At 47.9% G+C, this 17,520-nt stretch overlaps 5 annotated features.

Annotated features, from left to right (window-relative positions):
- Positions 1,068-1,362: an enhancer, noted in NCBI's record as "tiled region #7710; HepG2 Activating DNase unmatched - State 9:DNaseU, and K562 Activating non-DNase unmatched - State 10:DNaseD". NCBI's record gives its function as "activates a minimal TATA promoter and a strong SV40 promoter by Sharpr-MPRA in HepG2 and K562 cells {active_cell/tissue: HepG2 | K562}" and the evidence as "EXISTENCE:reporter gene assay evidence [ECO:0000049][PMID:27701403]".
- Positions 10,929-11,634: an enhancer, noted in NCBI's record as "NANOG-H3K27ac-H3K4me1 hESC enhancer chr12:104761070-104761775 (GRCh37/hg19 assembly coordinates)". NCBI's record gives its function as "activates a minimal SCP1, AML or CMV promoter by ChIP-STARR-seq in naive H9 embryonic stem cells {active_cell/tissue: H9 hESC(naive)}" and the evidence as "EXISTENCE:reporter gene assay evidence [ECO:0000049][PMID:30033119]".
- Positions 14,919-15,675: an enhancer, noted in NCBI's record as "NANOG-H3K27ac-H3K4me1 hESC enhancer chr12:104765060-104765816 (GRCh37/hg19 assembly coordinates)". NCBI's record gives its function as "activates a minimal SCP1, AML or CMV promoter by ChIP-STARR-seq in primed H9 embryonic stem cells {active_cell/tissue: H9 hESC(primed)}" and the evidence as "EXISTENCE:reporter gene assay evidence [ECO:0000049][PMID:30033119]".
- Positions 15,676-16,433: an enhancer, noted in NCBI's record as "H3K27ac-H3K4me1 hESC enhancer chr12:104765817-104766574 (GRCh37/hg19 assembly coordinates)". NCBI's record gives its function as "activates a minimal SCP1, AML or CMV promoter by ChIP-STARR-seq in primed H9 embryonic stem cells {active_cell/tissue: H9 hESC(primed)}" and the evidence as "EXISTENCE:reporter gene assay evidence [ECO:0000049][PMID:30033119]".
- Positions 16,434-17,189: an enhancer, noted in NCBI's record as "H3K27ac-H3K4me1 hESC enhancer chr12:104766575-104767330 (GRCh37/hg19 assembly coordinates)". NCBI's record gives its function as "activates a minimal SCP1, AML or CMV promoter by ChIP-STARR-seq in naive H9 embryonic stem cells {active_cell/tissue: H9 hESC(naive)}" and the evidence as "EXISTENCE:reporter gene assay evidence [ECO:0000049][PMID:30033119]".

The following is a 17,520-nucleotide window of genomic DNA, read 5'->3' on the forward strand; positions in this document are numbered from 1 at the left end:
GTCACAGCATCAGCCCAGAAGGGTGTTTAAGGTCTCAAGAATGATGAAGTGTACCACAGGGCATGAATGCTTATAGAAAAGAGATAAGCTCTGCTGGGAACCTGCAGCTATAGGAGGGGCCCACACTGGAACAGAGCTGCCTGAGGATTCCCTGGGGATCCTGGGGACCCTGTCCATGATGAGGGATGGTGAGGTTTAGATCTAGAAACACAGGGGCGAGGAAAGGACGCTCCAGGCAGACCCCTGGCAAGCGAAAGCATGGATGTAGTCCAGGTTCGGGGCTTGGAGGGGCATGGAGACAGAAAGAGAAGCGCTCAAACGCAGGCCAACGCTGGGCACCGTTCTGGGGCAGTGGGAAGCAGAGAAGGCACACGGGGACAGGGCTGGGATGAGATTGAGGCTTCCGGCCGCAAAATCCAAGGAGGCACACGCTCTCCCAGAGCAAGATCGGTCCTTTAACAGCACTGAGAGTTCAGTTTCCTATTCCCTCACCCTAAGCCTGGCCCTGCAGAACCAATAAACAGCTGGGCTCTGAGCAGATTAAATTCCCAAGCCACACAGGTTTGAATCCCAGCAGCGCAGTTTTTGCCAAGTTATCTGTGCTTAACCTCACTTGGCCTCAGTTTCCTCTTCTGTAAAATAGGAGCAGTAATTGTATGCTTCAGGCCAACAGATAAGCCACTTTTTAGGCTTCTGTTGTTGAACTGCCTGTCCCGAGCTTGGGGGTGGGGAGACCAAAGCTTTGTGTGGAGGCTGCTGTCTTCCCACCTCCTCTTGCCCCCTTGGACTCTTCTTTGGAAGACTAGACTTTCCCTTGCTTTCCCATCAACCCAGCTCTCAGAGCAGCTCCAAGTACACTGTTGGTACTTTGTACATCATTGGAATGAAAGAACACTGTGAAGTCCCACAGGTTTCATTCTCTTTGGTCTCGTCTTTTCCATGGCAACCACCTTTTTAAAGGCTTCCTTTATCTTTTGCTCTGATTTGCAATTGCCTCCTAAATTGTCTCTTTAACCTTCCTTTCCACTCTCCATTCTGACCAAATCGTGTAATAATAGTCACATTTTCCTCATATGCTTACTTCCTGCATATTAGGGTTATGTTGTAAGTGCTATGCACATAGCAACATTTAATCCTCATGGCCACTACTCATTCTCAATTGGAAGTCCTGGCCAGGCACTCAGTGGGGTCCACCAATGAGAAGACAGGAAGGTGGGTCTGGGGCTCAGGAGGGAGGAGAGTGGAGGACTCTGAGTCAATATCCACACACAAAAAAGAATGACATCCACAAGATCTGTTAGTGTTGCTAAGGTAGAGAAGGCGAGGCTGTTTCATCCCCACTAAGTGCCATGAGCAAAAGGCCCAGTGTTTACAAAAGCCTTTGAAACCATTTTGAAAATGCTCCAGAATATGAAGGAAAATAACTCAACAGAAGAAAATTACAATGGACAAATCTTTAAATGCCTACATACTTGCCTTATGCCAATCAAATGCAATTAGATCTGATTCCTGTATGTCTGTAAATGAAGTACATTGAAAGTGGGAAAGTGATGCATTTCATTATATCTGGAATGATGTGGGCTCTGGAAGTACAAGTGCGTAGAGGAATAAAGGCCTTAAAATGGCCCAGAGAAGAAATGAAAAGAGAAGAGGCGTTATACTGAGGAGAGCTGCAGGCAGAGAAAGAACTGCACATCCAAAACGCCCTCCACGCAGTGACTCCACTAATCTTATAAGAACTTTAGAACTAGTGTTACACTCACTTTTCTTTTTTCTTTCTTTTTTTTTTTTTTTTTTTTTTTTTGAGATGGAGTTTCACTCTTGTTGCCCAGGCTGGAGAGCAATGGCACAATCTCGGCTCACTGCAACCTCCGCCTCCTGGGTTCAAACAATTCTCCTGCCTCAGCCTCCCAAGTAGCTGGGATCACAGGCGTGTGCCACCATGCCCGGCTAATTCTGTATTTTTAGTAGAGATGGAGTTTCACCATGTTTGTCAGGCTGGTCTTGAACTCCTGACCTCAAGTGATCCACCCGCCTCAGCCTCCCAAAGTGCTGGGATTATAGGCATGAGCCACTGCGCCCGGCCCTACACCCACTTTTTAGATGAAAAAAGGGAAGTTCAGAGTCAGTCACTTGCCCAGGCTCACACTGTGTGGCTTCTGTGGCATGGGGTGACTCCAAAGCAAAAGAGAAGGTGTGCCTCCTAGTGTCCATCCCTGTGAACAGCAGGCTTCCACTTTGGTGTTCAGTTTTACTGGAACACACTTTGTTTATGGGCTTGAGTGAATAAGGTCACATAGCTAAAAAATTTTATAGGGCTTGCAAATCAAGGGGGATGGGCAAACAGTTTAGCAGATAATTCTGGGAAAACTTGTTTGCTATGTGTGTAGCTATAAAACTGGATCCCTACCTAACACTGGATGACAAAGACAGACTTGAAACATATTGAAGACCTAAATGTATGTGGTACAGCCGTAAAATTTATATGGTACATATAGGAAAATACCTCTGTGACCTAGAGGTGGGTGAGGGTTTCTTAAACCATGGTCTCAAGCACAAACCAAAAGGCAAAGCACTGATGTGCCAGTTGCCCCAGAAGTTCTGATTCACGAAGACCATCATGGAAAAAGTTTAATAGAGAGATGACCATGTGGGAAGGGACTGTTCTGTGTCTGAAACTGATAAGGAATTTAGACCCAGGTGACTTCAAGGAACTCTGGCGAATCAACAAGAAGACAGGAACCACAAAAGAAAATGGGCAAAGGACATTGAACTGCTTATTCACCAAAGATAAAACCCAAAAGTCAACCAGGATAGGAGAGCTGTACAAACTTGCGAGTCATTAAGAAAGGCAAATTAAAATAATGAGAGATTGCTTTACAGCCATCAGATTTGCACACATCAGAAAGCTGGTTAATGCCAAATGATGAGCTAGGCGAGGGGACCGTCAGGCCCTGCTGGTTGGAGAGGAGACTGTTTGCTGCTCAGTGTTTAGACCTCAAGCACTGTGTAGCCCATGACCCAGCAATACGGCTCTTGGCTCTCAACCCCAGAGAAATTCTGTGTATCCCCAAGGTAACGTGCACGAAGACACCCGTTATGGCACCGTGTGCAGTGTGGGGAAATTGAACTCCATCCTGATGACCCTCACTGGGGAATAGATGAGTAGGCTGCGGCAGATGCAAGATGATGGAGCGGTACTTGGGGAGTACTCATGACATGGGTAGAGGCGAGTGGAAAGAAAAAGAGACCGAGCCCCCTATAACCGCTTCTGTGTACTAAAAATGTATGCCCATGAAACCATGGTACATGTTTTACGAGCAGAATAGCACACATGCACCGCATGAGAGGGGCCGTCTATGGAGAGGGAAATAGGAAGTGAATGGAAATAAAGAGGTGTTGAAGAGAAAGAGCACTGACCCAGGCAGGCTTTCCTACAAGCAGTGGTTACAAGCCCAGCCCCTGCAGCAGGGTAACTTAGCCCCCAGTACCTCTGTTTTCTTAGCATAAAATAGAGATAATAATTGTGCTCACCTCCCAGAGTTGCTGTGAGGATCAAGTTAACACACACATGAAGTGCTTAGAATAGTGTGGCTGGCACAAAGGGGGTGCTAGGTGTATAAGGGTGTTCACAGTGCTTATATTAGTGAAAAATGAAAAATAATTGAAATATCCAACTGTGGGAGACAGTTTATCCAAATGATTGGAAAGATCTAATTGTTCTTCTGTCCTTCTTCCCTTTGTCTTTTTGGTAGTACAACCTCCCCCCGCCCCCCCCCCAACCTCTACACATACATAGATTTTAGCAATGTGCTTGGGCACCTAGCTATGTACTGAATTTCCCAGCCTCCATGATACTAAGTTGCTCTGTGGTTAAGCTCTGGGATAGAATGGATGTGAAAGTGTTATGTTCCGTGTAAGAAAAACACTTGCTCTCCACTTTCTCTTTCCCCTGCATCTGTGAATGACCTGACACCCACTGGAGGGCTGGAGGCCAGCCATGAGCAAGCAGATGAGTCAAGAAGCAAGCAGATGCTGAGCAACAAGTTGGAAGGAACCAGGGCCCTGATGACCCACACCCTGTAGCATCCTCCACCCCCACCTCCATCTGCTGGGTGGGAAAGAACAAACGTCTTACGTAGACTACTCTTTGAAGACACTGAATTTTGGGTCTCTGACATAGCTGCTTAGTCTGTACTCCAACTAATATAGCCATTTAAATCTTGTTTTTCAGAAAGTAGTTAATGATATGAGAAAAAAGCTTATAGTGTATACCTCAGTGGAAAAAAATTGGTATATAAAAACTAGATTTTTTTAGGGCAGCGAAACTACTCTGTGTGATACTCCAATGGGGGATCCATGTCATTACACATTTGCGCAAACGCATAGAATGTGCAGCACCAGGAGTGGCCCCTAATGTAAACTCTGGACTTTGGGTGATAGTGATGTATCAGTGTAGGTTTGTCAATTGTAACAAATAGACCACTTTGATAGGTGAAGTTGATAGTGGGGGAGGCTGTGCATGTATGTGGGCAGGGAGTATATAGAAGTCTCCGTACCTTCTGCTCAGTATTGCTGTGGTCTTAAAACTTCTCTAAAAAAGAAAGTCTATTTTAAAAACTACATAGGTGTCTACCAAATGTATAAGACTCACATTTTTTCTGTGGTGTGGCCTCAGCCTTCTCAAGGCTTGCTGAGAAGCAAGGCACACATTTATTTGAAGGTAGTGCCTGGAACTTGGAGCTTTTATCTCCCAGTGAACATCTCTCTGCCAGATGCTCGGGTAGGTTTCTCCAAAGTTCAACTGGGTAGGAGAGTCACATGATCCTTCCAACCAATGAATGAGCAGGAATCCAGTGGCTTTAGGAAAATCAAACCTGTTATTATGTAAGTGACGATCAGTGGTATATACAGTGACTATTTGTGGCAGTTGCATGCATTTCTGAGTGTGTTTTTATTTTGCCCTTTTGAAATTAATCTCAGAATTGTTCTGTGCCATGGTAAAGTTGTCTCATCATTTTGGAATTCAACACAGCTCCTAAAGCTGTTGATAAGAATTGTACGTGCTTCTGAGTTATGTGGGCTGATTTCGACGGTCTGCTTATGAGGTAGGAGGTGGGACTCTATTCTAGAGGCAGGGCTCAAACTCCAGACCAGATTGGAGACTGGCTGAAACAGGGGAGGGGCAAAAGCACCTCTCCATATGACACACCCACCAGTGCCATGCCAGTTTACCATTGCCATGGCAACACCTGGAAGTTACCATTCCTTTTCTAGAAATTTCTGAATAACCTGCCTCTTAATTTGCATGTAATAAAAAGTGGGTATAAATATGACTGCAGAACGACCTCTGAGCTTCTACTCTGAGCACACTGCCTGTGGGGTAGCCTGCTCTGTGGGAGCAGACATGGAGCTGTAACATTGCTGCCTCAGTAAAGCTGTTTTCTTCTACCACTGGCTTGCTCTTGAATTCTTTCCTGAGTGAAGCCAAGAACCTTCCTGGGCTAAGCCCCAATTTCAGGGCTTGCCTGTCCTGCCTCACACACTCTCCTGAAATCTGAATTTAGTTATAGAGAGTGATATGTGACTCTCTGTAAACTTTGTTCATTAGATTCATGAGGTGTTGTATCTGAGAACGATATCATTAATTGTATTTATAATGAAATTCATTCATGCATAAGTGTTCATGTTTTATGCATAACTATTAAATGCTGCTGCTGGAGAGATCAGTGCTGTGCTGAGACAGGGAGTTTTGAGTCACTGCTTTGTTTCTGCAGCTTCTCCTCTCCTTTACTGAGGCTCACACCCTGGGCTCACAGGCACACACGTATGTGTGTTGTACACACCTGCACCCACGCCCCCCATGCAGCATGGGGAGGGACGGCATCCAGGTGATACGTTCTTTCTGGATGCAAATACACATCAGTTATGACCTGACCTGAACCGCCATTCCCTTGGATGTAGCAATAGAGACAGAGAGGCCCCAAACGCTTCTGAGCCTTTTTGGTCAGGGTCTCTGCCTCCAACTGGGTCTTTCTGTCCTTCCTAGGTGAAGAAGGGAAATTGTCAGGGGCTGCTCTTAAGCAGGGGGCCTGGATCTAAACGGAAGACCTTCCAACCTCCCCCACTGCGGAGAGCAGAACTGGGAGCAGATGCCCGTGGGCTTCGCAGCTCTTGGTCTGTGTCATCACGTGCCTCGGTCATACATTTTGTCATCACTGTATTTACTAACACTGCACATCAAAGCGATTCCTACTTCTTTTAAATGGAAACACATTTATTTTAAAAGACACCCATAGATTGAAACCATAAATGGAAACCAGTCTGATTTGCCATACAGACTAATTTTTAAAATAAATGCAAAAACACCTATTTCTGTAGCTTGCATACGCATAAGGTATTTCTGGAAGGACATAGAAGAGGTGCATAGTGATTACCTGTGGGGAGAAGAACCCACGGCTAGGGGCAGGGGTGGGGCCCACTTTTAAGGAACATTCCTGTGTATTTCCATTTATACTTTTTTTGGCTTTTGGAATTCAATCAAAACAAAGAATTTGGGGAAGAAAAGATGTGAAAACAAAACATTGGCATTAGATTCTGGCCAGACGCTGTTGCCAGCTGAAGTTGCTAAACCTGAGGCTTCTCTCTGCTGCGGAGCATTCGTCAGCAGAGGGAGATGGTAAAGGGGCTTTCGCATCCAGTTGAGGTAACAGAAAAGCTGACAGCTCGTGAGGGACTCTTTCCCACCCTGCGATGGTGCTATTCATGCCGTCTCAGTTTCCATCTTCAGTTGCCCTCTCTCCCAGGTCTCCGACTCAGGGTTTCCCCCACGAGGCCACCATTGCTCCAGGAACAGAAGTTGGAACTGAAAGCAGTCTTAGAGGCCTCCAGCCAAATATTCCTCACCTGGTTCGCTCACTCCCAAAGGGGTCCCCTGTGAAGCCTCTGAAACCTTATGCAAAATCCTGTGCTCAAGTATATTTTCCAGGGAGATGGTGGCTGATCTCTATCAGAGCTCCAAAGAGGGCCATGATGCCTAAAAGTCCCTATGGGATTCAGAAAGGAGTGACATCTCCAAGGATGCCTGGCTCGTGGTATCGCTCAGCATATTGTTTCTAGATGCACTTGTGCATTCATGATGAGGAGGAGGATGGATCTTGGAGCTGGAGGAAAGATGCCACAAGGACCCATTCTGTCCAGCACAAAAGGAGAAGCCTTCCCAGCCTTAATGTCCAAAGGGAGGCATAGAGGCTCAGGGAAGCTAAGTGACTTCAAGGATGCTAAGGCTCCAGTATTTATACAGTGATCAAATATCACACTTGTACAAAGCAATCTCAGGTGGAAAGACCCACTCCTGACCATGGGGATGTGGGACTTTCTGGCATTGCTAACTGCTCGGGGACAGCCAAGATGGCAATAGTGGCTCATGTTCCAGGGCCCCTGTTTCATTGAGGGTGTTTGGATTGTGCTCTTGCCCAAGTGTTCAGATGACTTAAAGATTAGAATGTGCAGCCAGGTGCAGTGGCTCACGCCTGTAATTCCAGCACTTTGGGAGGCTGAGGTGGGCAGATCACAAGGTCAGAAGTTCGAGACCAGCCTGGCCAACATGGTGAAACCCCATCTCTACTAAAAAAATACAAAAATTAGCCAGGCATGGTGATGTGTGCCTGTAATCCCAACTACTTCGGAGGCTGAGGTGGGAGAATTGCTTGAACCTAGGAGGCAGAGGTTGCAGTGAGCTGAGATTGCGCCACTGCACTCCAGCATGGGTGACAGAGCAAGACTTCATCTTAAAAAAAAAAAAAAAAAAGATTAGAATGTGCACCAGATCTAATTTCTCCATCTTTTTTTTTTTTTTTTTTTTTTTAGATGGAGTTTCACTCTTGTTGCCCAGGTCGGAGTGCAATGGCACGATCTCGGCTCACCGCAACCTCCGCCTCCCAGGTTCAAGCAATTCTCCTGCCTCAGCCTCCCGAGTAGCTGGGATTACAGGCATGCACCACCACGCCCGGCTAATTTTTTGTATTTTTAGTAGAGACAGGATTTCTCCATGTTGAGGCTGGTCTCGAACTCCTGACCTCAGGTGATCCGCCCGCCTTGGCCTCCCAAAGTGCTGGGATTACAGGCGTGAGCCACCGCGCCCAGCTTCTCCATCATTTTTAAGGTTGTTTCTCCACTAGAAAGTGGAAACCTGGGACTGTGTTTTGGCCAACATGTTTGTTCACAGCCCCAGTTCAAGTGGGAGGTTGAAGGATCCCTTCTTTGATTAATTGACATATTAACTGTATTGGAATTTCTCACCTTACTGTACCAGAGCAGTGATCCTCAACCAGGGCAATTTTGCCTGGCAGGGGACATTTAGTGATGTCTGGAGGCATGTTTGGTTGTCACAACTGGGCACAGGAATTGGGTGTTTCTCCCAGCATCTAATGCGTGGAGGCCAGGATGCTGCTAAACATCCTGCATGGCACAGGACAGCTCCAGCAACAAAGACTTTTCCAGTCCAGGCCCAGCACGGTGGCTCATGCCCGTGATCCCACCACTTTGGGCGGCCAAGGCAGGAGGATTGCTTGAGCCCAGGGGTTTGCAACGAGCCTAGGCAACATACTGAGACCCCGTCTCCACAAAAAAATTAAAAATTAACTGGGCATGGTGATGTACACCAATAGTCCCAGCTACTTGGGAGGGTGAGATGAGAGGATTGCTTGAGCCCAGGAGGTTGAGGCTGCAGTGAGCCATAATCATGCCACTGCACTCCAGCCTGGGTGACAGAGTGAGACCTTGTCTAAAAAACAAAAACAAACACAAAAAAAGACTTGTCCAGTCCAAATGAGAAGCAGTGCTGAGGCTGAGAAATGCTGCTGTCAAGTTGTTTTTTTTTTTTTTTTTGAGACGGAGTCTCGACCTGTCACTGTCACCCAGGCTGGAGTGTAGTGGCGCGATCTCGGCTCACTGCAACCTCCACCTCCCGGGTTCAAGCAGTTCCTTGCCTCAGCCTCCCGAGTAGCTGAGATTACAGGCGTCCCCCACCATGCCCGGCATATTTTTGAATTTTACTAGAGACGGGGTTTCTCCATGTTGGTCAGGCTGGTCTCGAACTCCTGACCTCATGATCCACCCGCCTCGGCCTCCCAAAGTGCTGGGATTACAGGCATGAGCCACTGCGCCCGGCCTCTGTCAAGTATTAAGAACTTAGACTGTCAAAGCTGTTTCTAAAGCTATACACAAAACCCCCCATGGAATTCTAAAAGGACCCACACCTATGGTATTGGGTTGAGTGTACAATAATTAGGTGATTTTTGGTAGGTTAACAGAGGCTACTAGCTGTCAGAGGTAGTGAGGTAAGTTACTCCCCTACCTTGCTACTTGGTTAAAATGTCACTACTCAATTGACACATACCAGCAAGAAGGCCCAAAGCAGTCATTCAACCTGTTTGATAAACCCAGAGGAGGCCCAATTCTTTGCCCTATTAGGTGCTCCACCTGGACCTTGGATAAAGGGCTCACCGAGGCAAATGTCCCCACATCTTCTGAACCGGCAGCTGGACTCAGGCCCTTTCATGAACCGGATATATGGCACAAGCCTTAACACCAGATCTATACCGTGTTCCCACAGGGATGGGGACTGGCTCTAGAATATTTTAGCTTATCCGCATACCTGAAAATCACAAATTTTACTAAAGAGAGCCCATTTTTAGATTCCATTCTAGTCATTAAAAAGGCACTAGTTTATCAACAAAACCCACTTCTAACATTTATTCTTGCTAAACAGCAAAATCTCCAGTGTAGATCAGAGAGGAAGACAGCTGAAGCACGCAGCCACCCCTCTAGGGTGTGGACCTTGATGAAATGTATGCTCCTGGTTAGGACAGCTGACCACCCTGAGGGCAGCTTAGATCTAAGTCACCTTTACATCTCCCTATGTGGGAAGAGTCTTCTTTTTTTCTTTTTTTTTTTTTTTTTTTTGTTGAGACAGAGTTTTGCTGCTGTTACCCAGGCTGGAGTGCAATGGCGTGATCTTGGCTCACCACAACCTCTGCCTCCCAGGTTCAAGCAATTCTCCTGCCTCAGCCTCCAGAGTAGCTGGGATTACAGGCATGCGTCACCACGCCTGGCTAATTTTGTATTTTTAGTAGAGATGGGGTTTCTCCATGTTGGTCAGGCTGGTCTCGAACTCCTGACCTCAGGTGATCTGCCCGCCTTGGCCTCCCAAAGTGCTGGGATTACAGGCATGAGCCACCGCACCTGGCTTTTTTTTTTTTTTTTTTTTTTGAGATGGAGTCTTGCTCGGTCGACCTGGCTGGAATGCAGTGGCACGATCTCAGCTCACTGCAATGTCCACCTCCCGGTTCAAGTGATTCTTATGCCTCAGCCTCCAAAGTAGCTGGGATTACAGGCGCCCACCACCACGCCTGGCTAATTTTTGTATATATATATTTTTTTTTTTTTGAGACAGTGTCTCACCTCTCGCCCAGGCTGGAGTGCAGTGGCGCAATCTCGGCTCACAGCAACCTCCGCCTCCCAGGTTCAAATGATTCTCCTGCTTCAGTCTCCCAAGTAGCTGAGATTACAGGCACCCGCCACCATGCCCAGCTAATTTTTTGTATTTTTAGTAGAGACAGGGTTTCACTATGTTGGCCAGGCTGGTCTCAAACTCCTGACCTTGTGATCCACCCACCTTGGCCTCCCAAAGTGCTGGGATTACAGGCATGAGCCACCGCGCCCGGCCTAATTTTTGTATTTTTAGTAGAGACGGAGTTTCACCATATTGGCCAGGCTGGTCCCAAACTCCTGACCTCAGGTGATCTGCCTGCCTCGGCCTCCCAAAGTGCTGGGATTACAGGCGTGAGCCACTATGCCCGGCACTATGTGGGAAGATTCTAAAGTGCATTCCAGAGGACAGGGCTCCTGGCTGGTCTGCGTCTTGTCTAGAGGCAGCCTGGGAATCCGGATGAAGACGAGTGGGCAGGGCCTGCAGAGAATCCAAGTGCATGAGGGCTTGGGCGAAAGCAGCGTCCGGGAAGGGAGGCCAGGCGGAGCATTGCAGCATCTTCCAGCCCTACAGGCATGCGTTCCAGGGATTGTGAACCTAAGCCAGGGACATAGTCATGAAGAGCTATTCCCTGCATCCACTGTGGCTTCACCCCAGGAGGGCACCGAAGGAGTAACACTGGTGCTCAGCAGGCTCTCCCCATGTCACAGAGGATTTGGTGATCAAAGCCAGTGTCCCTCAGAATTTTTCTTCACAGTGCTGATCATGGTGGGTGTGATGGTTAATTTTAGGTGTCAGCCTGACTGGGCTCAGGGATGCCGAGGTAGCTGATAAAACATGATGCCTGGGTGTGTCTGTGAGGGTGTTTCTGGAGGAGATTAGCATTTTTTCTTTTTTCATCTCTTAAATTCCTTTACCAAGACATTAGCATTTGAATTAATCTGGGTGAAGATCCACCCTCACCAATGCAGGAGGCACCATCCCATCTGTTGAGGGCCTGAATAGAAGAAAAAGGTGGAGGAAGGGCGAATTTGTTCTCTCTTTGGGGCCTGGGATATCCATCATCTTGTCCTACCTTGGACATTGGAGCTCCTGATTCGTAGAACTTCAGGCTCTGGACTTACACCAGTGACCTCCCCTGCCCACTTGCCATGGGCTTCCCTGGTTCTGAAGCTCTCAGACTTGGCCTGAATTACACCACCAGCTTTCCTGGCTCTCCAGCTGGCAGGTGGAAGATGGTGGGACGTCTCAGCTTCCATAACCATCTGAGCCAATTCCCATAGTAAATCTCCTATCTATCATCTATATATCTATCTATCTATCATCTATCTGCCTATCTGTCTATCTATCTATCATCATCTATCTATCTATTTACCTGTCATCTATCATCTATCTCCTGTTTCTCTGGGGAACCCTGCCTAATACAGTGGGATTATTTGAGTAACAACTTTCTCCTCAACCTGGCTGGACGATCCAAAATGATCAGGGCCACGTCTGTTGGACAGTGAGAGCATTTAGGGGAGCATGCAGCCCGGAGTCCAGGTTGAATCCTGGATCTGCCACTTACTAGCTGTGTGACCTTGAAAAAAAAGACTGAGCTTCACTGTGCCCCGAATCCTCCATAAAATGAAAATAATAGTAGCATCTGCTTTAGAGAGTGGGTATGTAGATTAGATGAGATCATACTTACAAAGCACTTAGCACAGTGCTTGGCCATACTAAGAACTTGAAAATGCTAATTGTTATTATTATTATTTACCTCTATGCATATCTCAAGGTCCAAAACAAAAGCTAAGTCAGAAAAGGAGGAAAAAATGCCAGATGCCGGGAGAACATGCCAGCTTCTGGAGTGAGATGCGGAGATTGGGGGATTAGCAGGAAGAAGAAAGAGCCACTGAAACCACCCAGTTATCCCTGCATTTATTTATCCAAAGACCATCACTGAAGGTCTTCTACTTCCAAGCCCCACCTGGGCTTCCAGCCTAATAGGAGAAACAAACCTTAAACAAACAATGGTGCATAAATCATGATTTCATTACAATTGTGATGAGTGAGGCAACATACGGTACAGAGGACTTAAGAATATTTTAACAGGAAAATCACCATAGCCCAGGGCTGGAGGTTGGGAACTGGGGAACTGGGGATAAGAATCCAGAAAACCACCCTGCCCAGCATGCAGAAGGGAGTTAATGGAGAAGTCTTGCTGGGTCGGCCTGTAAGGGATGAGTCCACACAAGCATTTACACAGGCAGAAGGAGGGCAAGGTCATTACATCCCTTTTGGACACAGTAAATGTCCAGTTGTCCTTTTCCCTGCCACTGTATAGTAAGATGGTGGTCAGGACCTGGGGGTGCCAATGACTGATCTCAACCATACCTCTAAGCTGAGAAGGGAAAGGTCACTGATTATTACTTAAGCCAGACTTAAAGAACAGTCCCAAAGCTTCTGACAGCCAAGACAATGTCCTCTTCGCTTTCAATGACAAAGGCCCAACTGAGTAACATATGAACATTGAGGGAGCCAACTGCACACAGACACTTGGACCACTGACCCAGGGAAACTCCTTAACTGCTTGAATGAAGTACCAGTCATTCATGGTCAATAGATTCTTCTGCTGCATGGAATTTCTGCTGGGCTGGTGGAGGCAGCTGAGAAATAATGGGGAGAGGCCAGGACAAAGCATGGAAAAACTTCAGTTACGTTTTGTTGGTTAACAATGGGACCTTCAACAAGACACTCATTGGCTTGGGTCTCACTTTCTTCATCTGAATAATGGAGATAATAACACCTAAGTAGGCACGTTCCTGGCTTTAAGTAACAAACACCCACTAACAGGGGCTTAAACAAATATATGTTCATTTTTCTGACATAAGGAGTCGCAGCCAGTTGGGTGTGGACATTGGAGAAGCATCTCAGTAATGTCAGAGGTTTTGGATCTGCTTCTTTGCAATTTTCTCATTCTTTCCCTCATGGTCACAAAATGGCTGCTGTAGTTCCAGCCATCAAGTCTGTATTTAGTAAGGCAGTAAGAAGAGGGGGTGAAAGATAGGACTGCCTCTCTACCCTTTACACAGCCATCCTGGTGTTGCCTGACACACTTTTGCTTTTAACTCATTGGCCAGATCTCTGTCCTGGGCCATCCCTAGCTGCAAGGGAAGCTGACAAAGTGAGTTTTAGCTTTTCTTTTCTTTTTTTTTGAGACAGAGTCTCACTCTGTTGCCCAAGCTGGAGTGCAGTGGCGTGATCTCAGCTCACTGCAAGCTCCGCCTCCTGGGTTCATGCCATTCCCCTGCCTCAGCCTCCCGAATAGCTGGGACTACAGGCGTGTGCCACCTCACCCAGCTAATTTTTTGTGTTTTTAGTAGAGACGGGGTTTCACCATGTTAGCCAGGATGGTCTTGATCTCCTGACCTCGTGATCCGCCTGCCTTGGCCTCCCAAAGTGCTGGGATTACAGGCGTGAGCCACTGCGCCTGGCCGAGTTTTAGCTTTTCTAATCTATAGAGCACATGAAGAGTGTCTATCTCAGCATATAAAGCAGAGACTCCACTAGGCAGTGAAGGAAGGTAGGCAAAATGGATGTGTGTTTCATATCTGTGCCCCACACCCCATCCAGGGTCCGTCTCTCCCCAGCAGTTGTCATAAGGACTCATTATCATTTAGCCATCATGCAGAATATCAGAGCTGCCAAAAGGGAAAGCAAAGTGAATCGTCCTAAAGCAGCCTGCTTTTTCTTTTTTCTTTTTCTTTTCTTTTCTTTTTTTTTTCCTATTTGGAAGGTTTGGATTTGAAGTAAATCATCATTAAGCAGTCTAAGTATTTCCTTTATTTATTTATTTATTTGTTTATTTATTTATTGAGACAGGATCTCACTCTGCCATCCAGGCTCAAATGCAGTGGTGCAATCTAGGCTCACTGCAGACTCAGCCTCCTCAGCTCAAGTGATCCTCCCACCTCGGCCTCCTAAGTAGCTGGGGCTGCAGGCACACACCACCACACTGGCTAATTTTTGTATTTTTTTGTAGAGAGAGGGTTTCACCACATTGCCCAGGCTGGTCTTGAACTCCTGGGCTCAGGTGATCCTCCTGCTTCAGCCTCCCAAAGTGCTGGGATTACAGGCATGAGCCACCACACATTTTGCTTTTTAAAGCATTTACTTTAAAAATCTCACCTCTTTCAATCCTCGTTCTGTTCATTGTTTGCTCCAAGTTCGAGGGGCCTGTCAGTTCTTCCTGCAAATAAAATCAGTGAACAACCCTGTAGGTACACTTCAAGGTATACAGGGGAGCAGAGAATGCCGCCTGGGTAGGGGCGAGTGTTACTTCAGCGGCAGGGAAAGCCTCTGTCAATATTTGCGAGGAAGAGACGTCTCCAGAAGTAAGAAAGGCCACATTATGGAAATGGCATGTTTTATGCAGGGAGACACTTGAGAATCAGGGAGAGTCAATAAAGGGGCTAAGAAGGGTCAAGAACTTGGGTTTGAGAATAAGGCGAGTCTACTAGTTGAGAAGGAGAATAAGGCTTCGGTAAGCCAGCCCCACCTGCCACCTTGCCACCCCTTTTTAGGAAATAAGGGACAGTTGCCAGGGGCTGTTTTGTGACATAATCTAGAGGTATTTATGCCAAAAGGACTGACGGAAATACCACCACTGCCAACCACGACAGCATCCTGGTTCCCTAAACGGATGGGCTTCTTTGTTTTCCTTTGTCACAAGGAATTAGAGGAATGTGGCTACACCCGCAGCTTCTAACACCAGCTAGCCTGGGTTCACATCCTGGATGAATCACTTACTGTGTAACCTCAGGCATATTGTTTAACCTCTCTGTGCCTCAGCATCCTCAGCTGGAAAATGGGGGTGGCAATAGCAGCACCTCCCTTGTGTGGTTGTCAGGACAAAATAAGTTAACTCAGGGAAGTAAGGAAAGTTAATTAGTAAATAAGTTAACTCTGGGTAAGTAAGGTATCGAGGACGGGGGCTGGCCTCTAGAACGTGCTGTGTTAGTGTTGGTGATTCTTACGTGTGAACCAGCAGCAGATGGAAGGTCTGGCCGTTGAGGGATGCTACTTTTTTCCTGACGATGACTATGAACGTCTTGTGTGGTCTAAGACAGCAGTCCTTTTTGGCATCAGGGACCGGTTTCATGGAGGACGATTTTTTCCACGGTCGGGGGGTGAGGGGGGTCAGGATGGTTTTGGGATGAAACTGTTCCACCTCAGATCATCAGACATTAGTTGGATTCTCATAAGCAGTACACAACTTAGATCCCTCGCATGCCCAGTTCACGATAAGGTTCATGGTCCCATGAGAATCTAATGCCACCACTGATCTGACAGGAGGCGGGGCTCAGACGATGATGCCAGGGATAAGGGGCGGCTGTAAATACAGATGAAGCTTCGCTCACTTGCCCGCAGTGACTCGCCCCACTTCCTGCTGTGGGGCCCAGTTCCTAACAGGCCACAGAGCGGATGAGTACCGGTCCACAGCCCAGAGGCTGGGGACCCCTTGTCTCAGAGACATCTTGAGAACCTCTTTATTTCCTCTTTGTTAATGCAAGAAGTGGTTTTGAAAGCAATTCATGCATTTTCAGGAAAGAAGGCAAAAGAGACTAGGGAAGGGGGTGGGGAAGGCTTACCAGGTGCTGTATACACGACAAAGCAGAAAGGCTGGGAACTACAACTCTGGAGTCAGACACATTTTGGGTTGAACTCAGTCACTGCCCATTAGCATAGTGATCCTGGAGAAGTCATCTACCCTCATGTGTGAAGGAGAAACAATGAATGCTCCTGGACCCTAGAGCTGCTCAGAGGATCCAATAGAGCAAAGATGTCAAAAGGCCAGCGCCATGCCTGGCACAGAGGAAGGATTCAATCAGTTAATTCAGCCATGCTGAAGCCACCATGATGTGACAGAAAATCAGCTTGCAGCTGGGGGAGCGGGATTTGCCTCCTGATCATCTGCCCCGGAATCCACCACCTTCCTGAATGGCAGTCCCAGCAGCGCCAGGGTGGAAGCAGATGCTGGCTGAGGAGAGAATCCTGCCCTTCCCCGTCCAGCCACTTCCAGCCGTCTCCCAGCCCCTGGGTGCTGCACGGGCAGTACCAAGACTTCCCTGGCCCGGAAGGACCTCTGACAAGGCCCTGGAAGCCCAGCAGGGCCAGGCTGGGCTTTGAGAGGAGATGAGTGTTAGGAGTGCGTGTCAGGTGGGGGAAGGGAGCTGTAAGCAGCAGAGACTGGCCAACCTTGCCCATGAGCTTTAGGTCTCCATCTATGTGTCCATGCAGAAGGGCCCCCAGAGGAGAGCAGCATCCCGGCCTCTGTCAGGAGAGGAGAGAGTTACCCGATTTAAGGAGCTCAGGAGAAAGAGTGAGTGTGCTCAGCTCATCCCTCCCCTGTGGGAGCCAGCTCCCACCAAGGGTGAAGAGGGTCAGGCCCTGGGGTTGGGGGTGGATGGAGGTCTGCAGAGGTCCCCCAGCAGCCCCTGTGAAGGATGGGCAAATTCGTTTGTGCACTGCAGTCTTGGCAGCCTTGCACATTGTCCCCAGCTTCCCGTTCCCCAGCCTACCTCTTTTTTTTTTTGTTTTTGAGACAGGGTCTCACTCTGTCGCCCAGGCTGGAGTGCAGTGGCGCTGTCTCGGCTCACTGCAAGCTCCGCCTCCCGGGTTCACACCGTTCTCCTGCCTCAGCCTCCCGAGTAGCTGGGACTACAGGCGCCCGCCACCATGCCCGGCTAATTTTTTTGAGTTTTTAGTAGAAATGAGGTTTCACCGTGTTAGCCAGGATGGTCTCGATCTCCTGACCTCATGATCTGCCCGCCTTGGCCTCCCAAAGTGCTGGGATTACAGGCATGAGCCACCACGCCCGGCCTCATCCCCAGCCTACCTCTTGTAAAAATGAGCTGCCACTTTGCTGTCCATCCCTGGGACCCTGGCAGGCTCCATGAGTAGGCAAGAGAGGGGTGTGGTTCACCAGCCCCACCTCCAACAATGTCGGGAAACTCTGTGTTCCATCTCCTCCTGAAGCTGGCAGC

The sequence above is a fragment of the Homo sapiens genome, chromosome 12, assembly GCF_000001405.40.
Source record: "Homo sapiens chromosome 12, GRCh38.p14 Primary Assembly".
Lineage (NCBI taxonomy): Eukaryota > Metazoa > Chordata > Mammalia > Primates > Hominidae > Homo > Homo sapiens.